Raw genomic sequence first — 15,737 nt, 5'->3', positions numbered from 1 at the left:
AAGACTACCTTTCCTGATGGACTGGGAAGAAAACATTAACTAATAATCACACACAGAAATAAAATCAAAACCATGAGTGGTGGTGCTTGGAGCCATAAGAGCTGGTAATGACTATACAGGGGTAGGCCTTCTTGAGGAAGTGACATTTACCTATGACCTAGATGAGTTTACTAGGGAAAGTTCATTAGGTAAAGATGAGAGGGGGAAAAATACCAGGCAGAGGAAGCACTATGTCCTCTGTGGCAGAAAGGATCATGGCAGGCATATTAGTCAGGACCCAGCCAGGAAAGCAAAACCCACTCTAGGTGATTTGATAGAGGGAATTTCATACGGGGAGTCAGAGGAGTTGAAAGAGCTCCCAGGGGAACCCTGAGAGTAGCAACTCCAGGAAGCTGGGACTACTGTATTTGTTTGCTAGGGCTGCAGTAACAAAGTGCCACAGACTGGGTGGCTTCACACAGAAAGTTATTGTCTCAGAGTTCTGAAGGCTGGAAGTCCAAAATCAAGGTGTCAGAAGGGGTAGTTCCTTTTGAGGCCTATGAGGGAAGGATCTGTTCCACGCCTCTTTCCTTGACTTGTAGATGACCATTTTCACCTATGTCTCTTCACATCGTCTTCCCTCTGTGTGTGTCTATCTCTGTCCAAACTTCCCCTTTTTATAAGGACAACATTCATATTGGATTAGGGTCCACCCTAATGACCTCACTTTAATTCGGCTACTCTATAAAGACCACAACCCTAAATAAGGTCACACTCTAAAGTACTGGGGGTTAGAACTTCAACACATGAACTTGCAGGGGAGACACAATTCAACCCATAGCACCACCCTGGAAGCTGGAGAACAAGGAAAGAAACAGTTTCTGGAGCCTAAGACAAGATAAGCTGGAACAAAGAGGGCCTGCCAAGATGGGTAGCAGGGATCACACAGAGATGGCTGTGTAGTGGGAACTGCAGCCACAGAAGAGACTCCTGAGAAAGAGAAGCAGGAGAAGTACTCTGGCTTCTCCTTCCTTCACCTCCAATATCTTTTGCCCTCCCTCACTCCCCATTGGCTGAACTTTACTGGAAGGCAGTTGGCTCTGGAGCCTGGAACAGCCCCCAGTGACACAGAGCAGATCGGGGGACCACGGGATGGGAAGGGTGGACATGGCTCTGACAGCAACAATGTAACACCCATGCAACGAGTCTGCGAGGCCGAATGGAAGCCAGCTGGCTGCAGGGGAGAGAGCAAGAGAGTCTGGCAGAAGGTGCACCTGGAGAAGGAAGTAGAGGCCAGGCCAGGTAGGAGTTTGGTCTGCATGCTAAGAGCCATAGAAATATCCAAAGGTTTTTAATAGAGCTGGGGGAGAGGCGGTGATGTGATCAGAGATGTGTTTTGAAAAGACCTATCTGGCTATGAAGTGGAGAGTGGGTTGAGGATAGTGGGGCAGATCAGTTAGAAGGCTACGCCTAAGAGAAAGCCTGTTTTACAAAAAGAGGGAGCTCCTGCTGCCCCTCTCTTTCCCTGGAGTTTTCATACCCTCCACGTGTACTAGACATGTGTATCTGCCAGTCAAAGCCACCCCTCCCCTGGTGCAGAGGCCCGCTCCAAGCTCTCATTGCCCAGTGTCCTTTTTCTAGATCCTCTCCTGGTTCACTTCCTTTCTCTCTGGGCAGTCCTTCCCATGCTGCAACACTGATTCTTCTTTTGTCACCCACCTGCTGCAAGGGGGGCCCTTGTCACCCATCTCACCCATCACTCTGGCTTAATGGTGCTGACTGAGTCCACGGCTTTGGTGGCCACCCATATGTTGCTGCTGCTTCTCAGATCTGTATTTCCAGACATGATTTCTCTCGTGAGAAAAATCAGCCTGCCAGATATCTCCACTGGAATGTCCAAAGGAATTGGAATCATGAGCTCAGCATGTCTAAAACTGAACACATTATCTTCCCCTCGCACGTGGACCCCTGTAACCTGCCCTTCATCCTGTGTTCCCTATCCTCCTTATGTCCCACCCCCACTCCTGTTTGAATATTTCACCAGAAACAGGAGTGGGGGGTGGGACGTAAGGAGGATGGGGGAAAGAACATCATCCTAAACTATTCCCTCTTACTCCCCCACATCCCATTGCTGTCCAAGTCCTGTTGGCTCTGTCCTAGATATCTGTCAAAATCCACTTTTCCTGCTACTTCCCTAGCCCAGGTCCTCATTTTTATGTGGGTTCATGCAGTGGTCTCCTAGCTGGCTTCCTGCCTCAAGCCTTGCCCTGGCCGGTCCACTTTTCCTACAATCAAAGTGACATCTACCAGTGTAAATAGATCATGTCCTTTCTCTGCTTAAAATCCCTTCAGTGATTTCTTATCGTCCTCAAGTCAAGTCTGATTACTATCTCTGCACAGTGCCCAGCCCACAATAAATGATTGGTGATTAAATGAATAAATGACAAACCAATATAGAAAAATTGCTAAGTGTGGAAATGAAGAAAAGATGCCATTTTTTTTCCCCTGGAAGTCTTTCCGACTGTCCAAGACTCAATCTGGATCTATCCTTGGGTGTGTTTGTATTGTACTTCTCACACTATACTAAACCCATCTACTTACCTGTCTGTTTCCTACTGGAATGTTCCTTGGTTGCTACTATATCTCTTAGCACAGCTCCTGGAAGAAAGTAAATGCTCAAAAAATATTTGATGAATGAATGAATGATAAGGAGAGCTCTGGGCTGGGGCTGACTATGAAATGCTTATTAGGAGCAGAGTGTGTCTGTCCTGGTTCCAAAGCACTGGGGGAACCAGGATGGGTAGAGAGGCTGAAGGCAAGCCCTTTAGGGGAAGGATAGCAGTGACGAAGGCTGAAAGATCAACAGCAATACATTTTTCTCAGGAGACTTCTTTGGGGCAGTGTTTTCTAAGCTGGGTTCCAGGGACCACTGGTCTTGCGAGATGCTCTATCTAGGGTTCTATATCAAATCAGCATGTAGAAACATGCAGCCCATACCCCTTGTGTACATCAGCATCTCAAAGAGTCTGAGAAGTCCTGCAGTTGAAAAACCAACACTTTAACCCTTTTAACTCAGTATTTCCTGAACTTATTCCATAAGTTTGAATATACAAAAATAAAGTTTTTTGCTTAATACTCAGCAACACCCCCTTCCACAAGATATACTGGAATAAATAGTGTTTGGTGGTCATGAGTATTTTAGGAAAAGGGCAGGAGAAGCTTGAATTTCCCCCAGTGTGCCTTGGGTGAGCACTGTGGTTATAGCCACTTGATGAGAACAGTCAGAGGAAGGCTGCTCTGGGCCATCAAGTGCAGACTGTATAGGACAGGAGAAGGGTGGGAACAGAGACACCCCTGAAGGGGTTGTAGATTCAGGGGGAAAGGTGATGGATGGCCTGGACAAAGATTGTGGTGGAAACAAAATCAATGGGCACACGATTTTCCCTTCTTGGAAGAACCTCTGAAAGGAGAAGCCCTATTCACCCCGACTGCCTGGCTTAGGCCACACCCCTAGAAATGCAGCTACAACCAGGGCAAACCATCAACAGCATCTTCTCAGCACCCATGCGATCCCAAGTAGGCATCCGAGGACATGCAAAAGAGAAGCATGTGTCCTTTTGTGGTCAAAGTCTGTTTTCTCTCTTGGAGCAGGTATGCTTCTGATGGTGCTGCAAGCAGCAGGGGGTAAGGCTGCAAGCTGGGCTAAAAACAGCCCCACCCCCTCTAGCCACAATCAGCTGTGGGATAAAAGCCCCTAAAGACCAAGACTGTACTCATGTCTGACTCATCTCTGCTTCCAGCTCTCAGCTAAACCTGCCCAGAGGAGAGCATGGCAGACAGGAGGGCGCTTGCTCAGAAGCCTCTAGGTTAGAGGTAAACAGGACTAAGGTTAATAAAGAAATTCATAATGAGGGTATAGCAACTGTACCCCCACCCCATCACCAGATGATGACCTGGTCTGAGAGAGGAAACATGCAGGTGGGTCACATAACTCAATGTAAAGCAGGTAGCGCACCATGCCTGCATTTAAGGGCTCAGCAGGTGTTACTTATTACTATTATTTACTCCTATGCAAGTAACTGAAAAAAAATTACTTCATTTAAGATCTTTAGCAAATACTTTTGGTGTTAACTCTTTCAGGGACACTTCTTTTTTAAAAATTTATTTTTTAATATAAATGGGACAGGGTCTAGCTATGTTGCCTAGGCTGGTCTCGAACTCCTAGGCTCAAGGGGTCCTCCACCCTCAGCCTCCCAAAGTGCTGGGATTACAGGCACGAGCCACTGCATCTGGCCTGAGGGACACTGCTAACGCAGTACCTGGTGCTTTTCTGGCCCCTAAGCCCATGGGCTTAGGAAAAAATTAAGTCAGTGCCAAAGAGGACCCCAAACCCCACCATTGTTTCACAGACAGTGTTCAGTATGGCCTGTACCTCAGGGTAATCACTTCATTTTGCTCTTTTCTCTCCAATGCTCTCAGTGTGGAGGGAACTGGGAGGACCTGTCTGACCACAAACAACCCACCTGAGGAGGCCCTGCTGCTCCCGGAGGGTGCTCCTGCCAGAGTTCTCCTAGTTCCTTGCAAGGAGCCCTGGAAAAACAATCCCACCCTGGGTCTAACATAGTCTCGGGGACTTTTAAACCAATGCCCAGCTAGAAAAAACATCTCAGGCAGTTCGCGGATAGAAGAGGAAATAATATTAAGAGCCTGCCATATGTTGAATGTTTACTATGTCTCAGCAGCATATAAATGCTTTAGTTTCTTACAGAAGCCCTCCAAGGTGGGTACTCTTATTATCCCCTTTTTACTAATGAAGAAACTGAGACTTAAGGAGGTTAAATACCTGGTAAGTAGATAGAGTAGGGATCTGACCTAAGCTGTCCAACTCCAGGGCTCATGCTCTTAACACTGTTTATCCTGCTTTCCCAGGAAACTACAGAGGCCCTTTGGTGCTCCCCAGCTCTCCTTGTTTTCCTGTTTCTAAGCATCTGAGTGCATCCTGATAGCTGTGGACAGCAGAGATTTGGAACAGGAGATTGAAGAAGTCTCATCTACTGCCATGCTTGGCACATAGTAGGCACTCAACACATGCTAGACTCTCCCCACCTCCTGTTGCTTCTTGGCACCAGGCTTCACTCTGGACAAGAGTTAACATCTCATCCTTTACCCATGTCTTCTTTGACTGAACATCTCGCTATTAGTGGGAGATGGGTCAAAGAAGTATTCACTCATCCTTTCATCCAACAATACTGACAGAGCACCTGCCCTGTGCCAGGCTCAGCCAGAGGCTGGAGATAAAGACATGAATGAGACCCCTGGTGACGGGTGAGAGACAAAGCAAAGGGCTCATTTCCATAGAGGATGATGGGGATTCACATATGGGGTTGGGCAAGGCACACAATAGAGCAGGGTGATATGGTTGGCTTTGTGTCCCCACCCAAATCTCGTCTTGAATTGTAGTTACCATAATCCCCATGTGTCATAGGAGGGACCTGGTGGGAGGTAATTGAATCATGGAAATGGTTTCCACCATGCTGTTCTTGTGATAGTGAGTGAGTTCTCATGAGAGCTGATGGTTTTATAAGGGGCTTTTCCCCTCTTCACATTGGACTACTCTCTCCTGCTGCCACGTGAAGAAGGCCATGTTTGCTTCCCCTTCTGCCATGACTATAAGTTTCCTGAGGCCTCCCCAGCCATGTGAAACTGTAAGTCAATTAAATCTTTTTTAAATAAATTACCCATTCTTGGGTATGTTCTTATAGCAGCATGAGAATGAACTAATACACAGGGTGACATGAGAAGGCTTCCTGGGAGACAGTGCCTGAGCTGATCTCTGATGAGAAAGTAAGAGGAGGACATTCCAGGTACAGGGAACAACATGTGCAAACACACAAGGCTGAAGTAAACAAACAGGAAGCTGTGAAAAAGGACAGTGATGAATGACTAGCCCAACAGGGTAATTTTGACCCCCAGGGTACATTTGGCAACAACTGGAGACTTTTTGTTTGCTTTCCACAATTGTGTGTGTGTGCATGTATGCACATGTGTGTGCAAGTGTCTGCTACTGGCATCTAATAGGTAGAGGTCAGGGATGCTGCCGAACATCCTACAGTGCACAAGATAGCCCCCCATGACAAAGAATTATATCTGGCCCAAGATGTTGAGAAACCCTGGACTAGAACAACAAACATAAAAACATATTATAGTACTTTGACAATTAAAACTTCATAGTACTAGCACATGAATAGATAGAGAGACCAATGGAACAGTTTAAGAATATAAATATATACAGGAATTTAGCATATGATAAAGGAAGCATTCCAAATTCAGTGAGAATTCAATAAGTGTTGTTGAGATTCCTGGGTAGCCATCTTGAAAAACATTGAGCTGGAGCTATACCTCACACCATATATCAGAATAAATTCCACATGGATTAAACATTTAAAGGTAAACAATAAAACCACACAAGTACCAAGAGAAAATGTGGGAGAAATCTTTCATAATCTTAGAGTGGGAAAGTCTTTCCTAATCCTGACTCACAAATCAGGAACTATAAAATAGGAAATTGATTAAGTCAACTAATAAAAGTTGAAAAAAACTTTTTAAGCTCTTGCATGTGAAACAAACAAAAATCAAACCTGTATATAAGCAAAGTCGAAAACAAATGCAAATCTGTAAAGGATACACAAAACTCAGCAAAGGGCTAATTTCTTTAAATTATAAAGATACATAAACCTCTAAAGAAAAGACCAATGAAAATACGAGCAAAGCATGTGAAAAAGTGGCTTATAGAACAATAATGAAAATAAATACAAATGGCTAGTAAACATATGAAAAGATGTTCAACCTCTTCATGATAAGAAAAATGCAAATTAAAAGTACTGACATGCCTTGTTTTTTTTTGTTCATTTCTCACATTTGCAAAAACCCAAATTTGAAAATACGCAGACATTTCCATATATTGCTGGTGGGTATGTCAACTAGTACAGCCCCTAGGAGGGCGATTTAGCAATATTTACCAAAATAGCAAATGCATATATCATCTAACCCAGCAATCTCACTTCTTAGAGCTTACTCCACAGATACATATATTTGCATGCATATGAAGTGCTATACATACAAGGTTATAAATTGCAGCAAACGATTAGAAACAATTTAAATGCTCGTTAATAAGGAACTGGTTAAATAAGTTAGAGGTTGGCAAACTACCATCAGGGCCCAAATCTGGCCTTCTTCCTGTTACTGTAGGACTTTCAAGGGAAAAATCGTTTTAACATGTTTAAATGGTTGAAAAAAATCAAAAGAGAATTACATTTTGTGACACATGAACATTATATAAAATTCTAAAATCAGAGTCCATAAATAAAGTTTTATTGGAACACAGCCATGCTCCTTTGTTTACACATGGTCTCTGACTTCTTTTGCACCTTAACAGAGAACTGAGCAGTTTCCCAAGAGACTCGCTGTCCCACAAATCCTAAAATATTTACTATTTGGCCCTTTATAGAAAATTTTGCTGGATTGGAGTATATCCATGCAGTTGAATACACGGCTACAAAAAAACAATTTAAAAAACTCTGTATGTATTGCTACAGAAAGGTTTCCAGGCTATATTACTAAATTTTAAACAAGCAGACAAGAAAAGTGTAAATTGCATGTTATCATTTGGATTAAAAGGCGGGATATATTTGTATTTTATTATAATATGCATAAAACTTATCTGGAAGCAAATACAAGAAATTAGTAAGCAGTGACTGTCTCTGGGGGAATGAGATTGGTGAACTTGAAACAGAGGAAGAACAAAACTGTGTGTATGAAGTATATTAATAATTATTTTTAAAACTATACAGTGGGTAGGATTTACATACAATGAAATATTATTTAGCCTTAAAAGAGAAGGAAATTCTGACATGAGTGAACCTTGAGGATATCATGCTTAGCAATGTCAATCACAAAAGGACAAATATTTTATGATTCCACTTACAGGAGGCACCTGGAGTAGTGAAATAATAAAGACAGAAAGTAAAATGGTAGTTAGTTTTCAGGGGTTGGGGAGAAAAAGGAATGGAAAGTTAGTGGGTACAGAGCTTCAGTCGCGGAAAAAGTTCTGGAGATGGATGGTGGTGATAGTTGTACAACAATGTGAATGCACTTACTGCCACAGAACTGTATACTTAAAAATGGCTAAAATGGCCAATTTTATGTTATTTATATTTTATCACAATATTAAAAATATCTAGGCCAGGAAAAAAATAAAAACACACAGTCGTAAATAAGAGCACAGATTCATTTCGCTAAAAAGTTGTTCGGCCCGGCTTTGCGGGTGATGAGGCTGGAGGTGTCTGCATGGCCTGATGAGAAAGCACTTGTATTCTGGCCTAAGGAGTTTGCATTTTGCATGTCCTGAGGACAATAAGGAGTAACAGGATCCATTTTGTTAAAAAACAAAATTCTGGAAACAAGAAAAGAATGGACAGAAGAGGCTTGGGTGGGCAGGGAAAGAAGAGGGAGATCTAAACTCTGACTTTTTTTTTATCTTCCCCAAATTCCTACCTAAGGGGCCTCGGGAGTCACACCCTACAAACCATACAGTCTCATCAGAGGGTTTTTTGTTTGTTTGTTTTTGTTTTTTTGAGACAGAGTCTCGCTCTGTTGCCCAGGCTGGAGTGCAGTTCTGTGATCTTGGCTCACTGCAACCTCCACCTCCCAGGTTCCAGCGATTCTGTGCCTCAGCCTCCCAAGTAACTGGGATTACAGGTGTGTGCCACCACACCTGGCTAATTTTTGTATTTTTAGTAGAGACAGGGTTTCACCATGTTGGCCAGGCTGGTCTGGAACCCCTGACCTCAAGTGATCCACCCACCTCAGCCTCCCAAAGTGCTGAGATTACAGGCGTGAGCCACCGTGCACTGCGTAGAAGGATTTTTATTTAACCCCCCTATATAAGGTGGTCTGCTTTCCAACCTGGCTCTGGCATAACATCACATAACAAATAAGGAAGGAAATATAAATATTTAAACCCCAAATATATTTTCTTGCCATATCTTGAAATTGCCTGGCAAGGTTGTCTCTTGTGGGAAAAATCTATGGAGAATCTATAGAGATTCTATGGAGATTTCCCTTCCCCTCCCCTCCTTTTTCCTCTTTCTTTCCAGACCCAGGAGATACTCAACTAAGAGCCAGGTAACCTTTTAAGTGGGATAAGAAACATTTTACAACCTGCTCTCTCTGAAGTCTGCTGAAAGCTTCTTCAGAACAATAAAACTTGGTCACCACCATCCTTTATCTTAACCTAAACATTTCCTTTCTATTGGTCCCAGGTCTTTAGATAAACTCAACCAATTGTCAACCAGAAAACTTTAAAATCTACCTATAAGCTGGAAGCCCCCACCTCTCCCCCACCTACAAGTTGTCCCACCTTTCTGGAGCAAACCAATGTATTTCTTAACTGTATTTGATTGAAGTCTCACGTCTCCCTAAAATGTATAAAACCAAGCTGTGCCCTGACCACCTTGGGCACATGTTCTCAGGCCCTCCTGAGGGCTGTGTCATGGGCCATGGTCACTCATATTTGGCTCAGAATAAATCTTTGCAAATATTTTACAGAGTTTGGCTCTTTCTGTCAACAAGGAGTATTAGAGGGTACCTCTTGGAAGAGAACCTGGGTGCTGGGGGACAGGGGTGGGAAGGAGACCTATTTTTTACTATAAATCCTTTTGTTGGATTTCTACATGTATGTTCATTTCCTATAAAACGATAATTGTGTTTATTTTTAAAAGAAAAGCTCTTCAAGCAAATATGAGGGAAGAGAAGTACTTTCCCAAAGTGTGGTGGAAGGGAAGGGGGAGAGTTTGTGATGGGGTGGGGGTGATGGGCCTGAACTTCATCCAAGCCTCTGAGGACCCGAGGAGCAGAAACTTGTGGGGATGTGAGCTAGAAGGTGAAGCCCACCGGTTCCTAGGTGACCTCTCTCTGACTTCATGGGCCATGGAACAGGCTGTCTCCGTGGTAATCTCAACAATGCTCAAGGCAGTCAGTGCCTGGCAACTTTGGACTTAAGAGTATCCGGTAGGTGCAAAACATCAGCCAGGCACTTGGTGCCCAAAGCCTTTGATTACACCCCAGCTGGACATCTAGAGCCTGGACGTCAGCTTGGGGAAAACCACTTCTTATGCAGAAAGTAAAGCCCAGCAAAGGCCACCAGGTATTCCTAACAGGAATACACCTAACAGGGCCTTTCCTCCCCCTCTTCCCAGCCCCACCAACTCCTTCCCCACTCTTTGCCCTACAGGGAACCTCTGCACGGCCAAGCTAGGATATTGGGTTTCTGGACTCTTGCTAGAACTTCTCTGAGTCATTCATTTTCTTTTTATTTATATATACTGTGTTGCCTCAACTATATTGCACCATTTAGTCTCAGGTCTCTGGGAAAGAGAGGATCTCACAACAGAAACATTTTTCCAGAAAAACCCTGAGAGGGGGCTGGCCTCTTTGAGGGCTTAAATGTCTCTGCGACGTCACAGAGGCATGCCAATTTCTGTCTTAGTCCATTCGGACTGCTCTAACAAAAATAGCACAGACTGGGTGGCTTAAACAGCAGGCACTCTTTTCTCACAGTTCTAGAGGCTGGAAGTCCAAGATCAAAGTGCCAGCAACAGGCCTTGGGAGGGCCTGCCTCCTGGTTCATAGATGGCCATCGTCTCCCTATGTCTTCACACGGTGGAAGGGGCAAGGAAGGCTTCCCCACACACCTGCCCTTTACTCTGCGGAGCCCAGCTTCCTACTGCAGTAAACTCTCACATGGCCAAGAAGGTAAAGGTCTGCTCAGGGCATTCACCTCCTTTCAGTGGTTCTCCACATTCAGCCCAGATAGACTCAGCCAACAGGAAACCCATTAACCAAAAGCTTGTGTTCTGTTTGGCCTCTTACACATCAAAGGGAACATAACAGTGAAAATTATAATAAGCAACAATGATCATCATCATTTCCAAGAGACAACATCAGTGCCAGCAGTTCCAATGAGACCCTGGGGTGTCAGTCACTGTATCTGCAAACAGAAAATGCAACTCACCTGCCTCTCCAGGCATCAAGAGTGCTCATAACGCTTAGAAAACTGTAAATAGCTTATAACTGCCAGTTGCTGCTATTGTTCATAAGTGCTTTGGGGTCACAGCTCTCGAAATAATGAGAAGGTGTGCTCTCGGCAATGAAATTAAACAGGCATTTCAGGGCAACCTCAGCTCAGATCCCTGGAGAAAAAAAGAACCTACAGCTTACCTCCAGAGGGGCACTGAGGATCATGTTTCACCCTGAGAGGGGGCTGGCCATGGAAGGAAATGACCTGAGGTCGGGGTGGGCCTCCATTCTGCGGGAGAGGGCAGGGAAGATGCTTGGCTGCTCTCACAAAGGAGCTTCTAGGATCTGCCTCTTTTTTTTCCTCACCTCCTCCTAAGGGAAAAAGTTGTTTTCCTTCCTGCGCCTCAGGGCAGAGCAGAAGTTGAAATGGACTACTTGTTCCTAATATTATTTACAGTTCAGCAAAGGACTTGGGGTCTCCAGCCTCAGGTCTAGAAACTCCTTCCACAGCCACACCCTGAAAAGGACTAGGTTAGCAGCAAAGCTGGGGCTCCTGAGATAGTATGCGATCTTCTGGTGGCGCTTTAAGCTTGTGGTATAAACTGAGGTGGTCTCAGGTCTCTGGGAAAGAGAGGATCTCACAACAGAAACATTTTTCCAGAAAAGGGCGCAGCTTTAGAGTTGCCTTAATAACATGGGATCTAGCGCCACCTAGTGCCTGCTGCGGAGCTTGACATGGGTCTTGCTCTGATAAGGTGGTTTTGGTTTTTTTGGAAATTGGCTTTAACCAAGAGAGAGACCGAAATGGAGAAACACGTTTTCTGCACACAGGGCTGTCCTCATGCCCACGATGAGGGACTGAGAGTTTGGTGGAAGAAGCTGAAAAGCTACAATCTTAATGTGTCACGGACGGGGGTGTTGGGTGAGGGGATGGGGGAGTCTTTCTCTTGGAAGGAAGCTGGGGTGACTCACAAGTAATATTTAGAGTCTTAGTCCCAGAAGATTGGCTTGGATTTGTCTGCATGAATATTTTTGCTCACACTAGAAAAAAAATACTGGTGCTATTTTATGACTTCTATGCTTTTCAAACTAGTTTCTCAGAGCTCTCCCAGAGCCAGCATAGGGGCTGCTTACAAAAAGCCCTTGGAAGCTGCTTCACTGTGGAATCCACTCCCGCTCCTTGCTACTGCCTACAGGACAAGCAGCCCTCCTTTTTTGTCCTGCCACTGTCTGGCTGCCCTCTAACCCTCTACTAATTAAAGCCACCATTTGCTATTTGTTTAACGTGATTCATTTCAACCTCAGAACAGCCAAGGCAGTGGATATTGGTAATCTCAACTGATCTTTAGGGAGGTTACAGGACTTACTCAAGATCTTTCAGCTCATAAGCAGAAGTGGGATTTGAACCCAGAGTTATTGAGCTCCAAAAAATTTGTTCATTTCACTACAGTACTCCATCTGCACTGCTAGGGGTAGTGGCTATTGCAGAGGATGCTACAATGTCCAGGAGGTTCCAGGAGGTTCTTGAGGAGACAAAGAACCTCTGAACTAGAGGACTTCTAGCTTGGAGGACACTTCCTGCTCTGGGCCTGTCCCTGTGACTCCAAGGCCTGGCTCGATGCTTGGTGTAAACACCTCCCTCCTCACAGCATCTGCCCTCCCTCAACACAGACATTTCCTCAGCCTACACTTCTCCACCCTTGGAAACCACCCCAGAGGAATAATGAGAGCAAAGAGCAGGGCAGGGAGTTGGCAACTCTGTAGAATGCCAGGAGAATCGTGGATTTGTCTGACTTCTGGGCTTTGGCCTCATCTGGTGGAAAACTGTGAAAATTCCCTACTGGCTCCTCCCTTTCCTTCCCTCCAGGCCCCTCCACCATTCTCCACCAAATAGACACACCTCCAGAAGAAGGTTAAGTAAGGCTACTCTCTGGATGCCTCTGAAACAAAGTGGTTTGCTTAAATGTACAGATTCAGAAATAAAGTTTAAATGGGGCAGCAGGCTGCAGTGGGACCCACACCCTGACCTCCATAAATGGATAAATGTTCAGGCTGCTGGAAGACCATGGAGGTGGTTTGGGGGTATCCGAGGAGCACAGAATTAAGAGACTGGGACTTCAGTCCCCATTCTGTCACTCCTCAGCTCAGTAATTTTGGGCAAAGTCACTTAACTACTGTGAGCATCAGTTTCTTCACTCAGAGAATGAGGACAATGATTCTCTTACCTGTAAGCTAACAGATGAACAAGCGCTCGGTAAAGCCCTGTAAGGGTGTGAGGTACCATACAATGAAGGAACTATGGGCATGCAGGATTTAGCTGAGAGTGCCTTTACTCACTTCGTCCTTTCCCTACCTCTCCCTCTTCCCCAAAAGGAGTCTGTCTCCTATAAAAGGGGTCTTAATACAGACTCACACACACGCACACAGGGTCTTCAGTTCTTGTGGGCTTTTCATTTTTTTTTTCAGAGTTAAATCATCTTGGAAAACAGCTTTTCCAATAAAGACCCAGTGGCCAGGACTGCTGGATGCACTTTCTTTAAAGGTGGCGGGAAACGCAGAAGCAGGAAGGTCCAGGACGGCATCCATCCTGTGCAAGGAGAAGGTCCTAAAAGGCTATTTCCTCTGCTACCAACTAAGAAAGATGGACGTTTGTAGCTGGGCACGGAGGCTAATCATCCGTAATAGTCTGGCAGTGCTAATGCATTCAGGGGAGAGCAATTAATGCCTGTTGGGGAACATCAGGACAGAGCTTAGAGTCTTGCAGCCTCTGGCAAAACCAGTTTGAAAACCTCAGGCTCCATTTCTAGTTTAGGGTGTCTCCACCTGGCTTGGCAAACTCTGTGCCTCTGCAAGAGGGAAGAAATAGCTTCCTAAGTGAGGCTTGGGAGGAACAAAGGCCTCATTAGGATCAATCACTTATTCCAAGTACACATTCCCAAGAATCTCTATTGATGATCTCAGATACAAATGAAGTAGTAATTAAGGATGTAATGCAAATGATCTTCAGCTTAGTAACTCTCTGTAATTGAAATTTACTAAATTAAGTCTGAGATTTTTGAAACTAGGCCTTTAAAAAAAAATTCCCCGGTTATAATTACCCCTTCTCCTCCCTCCTACCCACCCTTCAGTAATGTAATTAGTTTAAAATAAGATCCGTGGTAGGGCTGATGATGCGCTGCCTACTGAAATGCTGGCCTCCTATCAGCAATCCCCAGGGAGTGAAGAGAACAGGGGCTCGCATCAGTCAGAAAGGCCACTGTCGTGTTACCAAATATAGGACAAGGAAACCGGACACAGAGCTTGTGATACCGACTGTGCTGGGCGGGAGAGATTTCTCAGCTCTCCCTTCTGTTTCTTTCCCCTCTGCCCACAGACCTGGGATAAGCTATGGACCATTCAGAGAAAGAAGGGAATAGACTGGAGTAGGAGAGGAATTGGAATGTTTAGGGGGTGCTGAGAAGGCCCCTGACAGGAGAGACAGAGGGCTTGGGCAGATCAGAAACCTGGCTGTTTTCTCAGAGGCCAGAGTGCTAAATCTCCATCAGTAATAGCCCTGCGACTCGTCCAAATCCTGTCCTCTGCCACCTGATAGGACCACCCCTGGCCTTAGCTCATTTCTCCTGATATGCCCCAGCAGAGGGCAATGCCCGCTAAGCTCAGCCTGCCCAGAACCCAAGAGGAGCCGTGTGGGCAGAGAAGGGGCCCCAGCAGGCGCTCCAGCCTCCCCGTTCTTTTCCCCAGTTTGGTTTTTGTCCCAAAGTGGGACAAAGAAAGAGGATTGAACATTGTCCTGGGTATGTTTGATCTTCTAGAAGAGCATATTGGCCTATTTCATTTAATTCAGATGAAAAGACCAGCTTGTCTTTGAGATCACACTCTAATTTCATCAGAGCTGTCATGTGAGAACAGAAGAGAAGCTACCCACAGCCTTCCTCCTTCCCTTCCCCACTCCTCCCCTCGCTCACCCCCACCCTCCCAGCCCACGGCTTCCTGAAACTGTTAGATCAACACAGAAACACCTGAAGCCCATTGACCCTCACAAGGCAAAAGCCAAAGGCTGCCAGGGCCATCTTAAGATGCCGCACGAGAACAGCAGCTCCCTGGCAGGCAGCACAGACCTGAAAGAAAATGCGTTCTCCCACTGGCCCCCAGCCTTTGAAAACTGCGTGTGCGCACGCGCCTGCTTTCTGTCATCCATTCACATCACCACTGTTAGAAACTTCCATAAATGCTCAACTGAAGCGCTTCTGTCAGAGACAAGCAGCAGAGTTGTTTCTGGAGAGCACAGCAGGTGTATGTTCCATTCGCAAATCAGATGGAAAACACAGACAATAGCAATCTTGTCTCTGAATAAGCCCTTGCTTAAAAGTTGCCCTTAGCTAATGTGGGCACGTTGACTGTTGGATCTTGGTGCCCAGTGTAGGGCCTGGCACGTGGTAGGTGCTTGATAAATATTAGCTGAGTGAATAAATGAATGACTCACTCTTCTTCAAAAACTTTCAGGAGCTTCTCAGTGGTATGGAAAAATGACATGATTCTAAAATCTGGTATTGGGGATCCTGCAATCAGATGCCTGCCTGCCTTGCCCGCCTGGTCCCATGTTGCCAGGCTGGAGTGCACTGGGCCGATCTCGGCTCACTGCAACCTCTGCCTCCCGGGTTCAAGCGATTCCCCTGCCTCAG

At 45.3% G+C, this 15,737-nt stretch overlaps 2 long non-coding RNA genes and 2 other non-coding genes across 4 annotated transcripts, besides 1 other annotated feature; 3 read left to right on the top strand and 1 right to left on the bottom strand.

Moving 5' to 3' along the window:
• The first annotated feature begins 1,106 nt into the window (after positions 1-1,106).
• On the top strand, positions 1,107-7,362 carry LOC105374768 (uncharacterized). The gene is made up of 3 exons (NR_189739.1): positions 1,107-1,281; positions 4,459-4,759; positions 4,909-7,362. It is a non-coding gene; the product is annotated as an uncharacterized LOC105374768 (long non-coding RNA).
• MIR4433B (microRNA 4433b) lies at positions 1,968-2,069 on the top strand. Its single transcript, NR_106995.1, has one exon. It is a non-coding gene; the product is annotated as a microRNA 4433b (primary transcript).
• Positions 1,977-2,057, bottom strand: MIR4433A (microRNA 4433a). The gene has a single exon (NR_039632.1). It is a non-coding gene; the product is annotated as a microRNA 4433a (primary transcript).
• A 2,674-nt stretch (positions 7,363-10,036) lies between the features above and the next one.
• Positions 10,037-12,335, top strand: LOC105374769 (uncharacterized). The gene is made up of 3 exons (NR_187908.1): positions 10,037-10,183; positions 10,597-10,791; positions 12,149-12,335. It is a non-coding gene; the product is annotated as an uncharacterized LOC105374769 (long non-coding RNA).
• Positions 14,778-14,937: an enhancer, noted in NCBI's record as "active region_15891". NCBI's record gives its function as "activates an Ori minimal core promoter by ATAC-STARR-seq in GM12878 lymphoblastoid cells {active_cell/tissue: GM12878}" and the evidence as "EXISTENCE:reporter gene assay evidence [ECO:0000049][PMID:35858748]".

This window comes from Homo sapiens, chromosome 2 (assembly GCF_000001405.40).
Source record: "Homo sapiens chromosome 2, GRCh38.p14 Primary Assembly".
NCBI lineage: Eukaryota > Metazoa > Chordata > Mammalia > Primates > Hominidae > Homo > Homo sapiens.
This window is presented reverse-complemented; position numbering and strand designations above follow the sequence as displayed.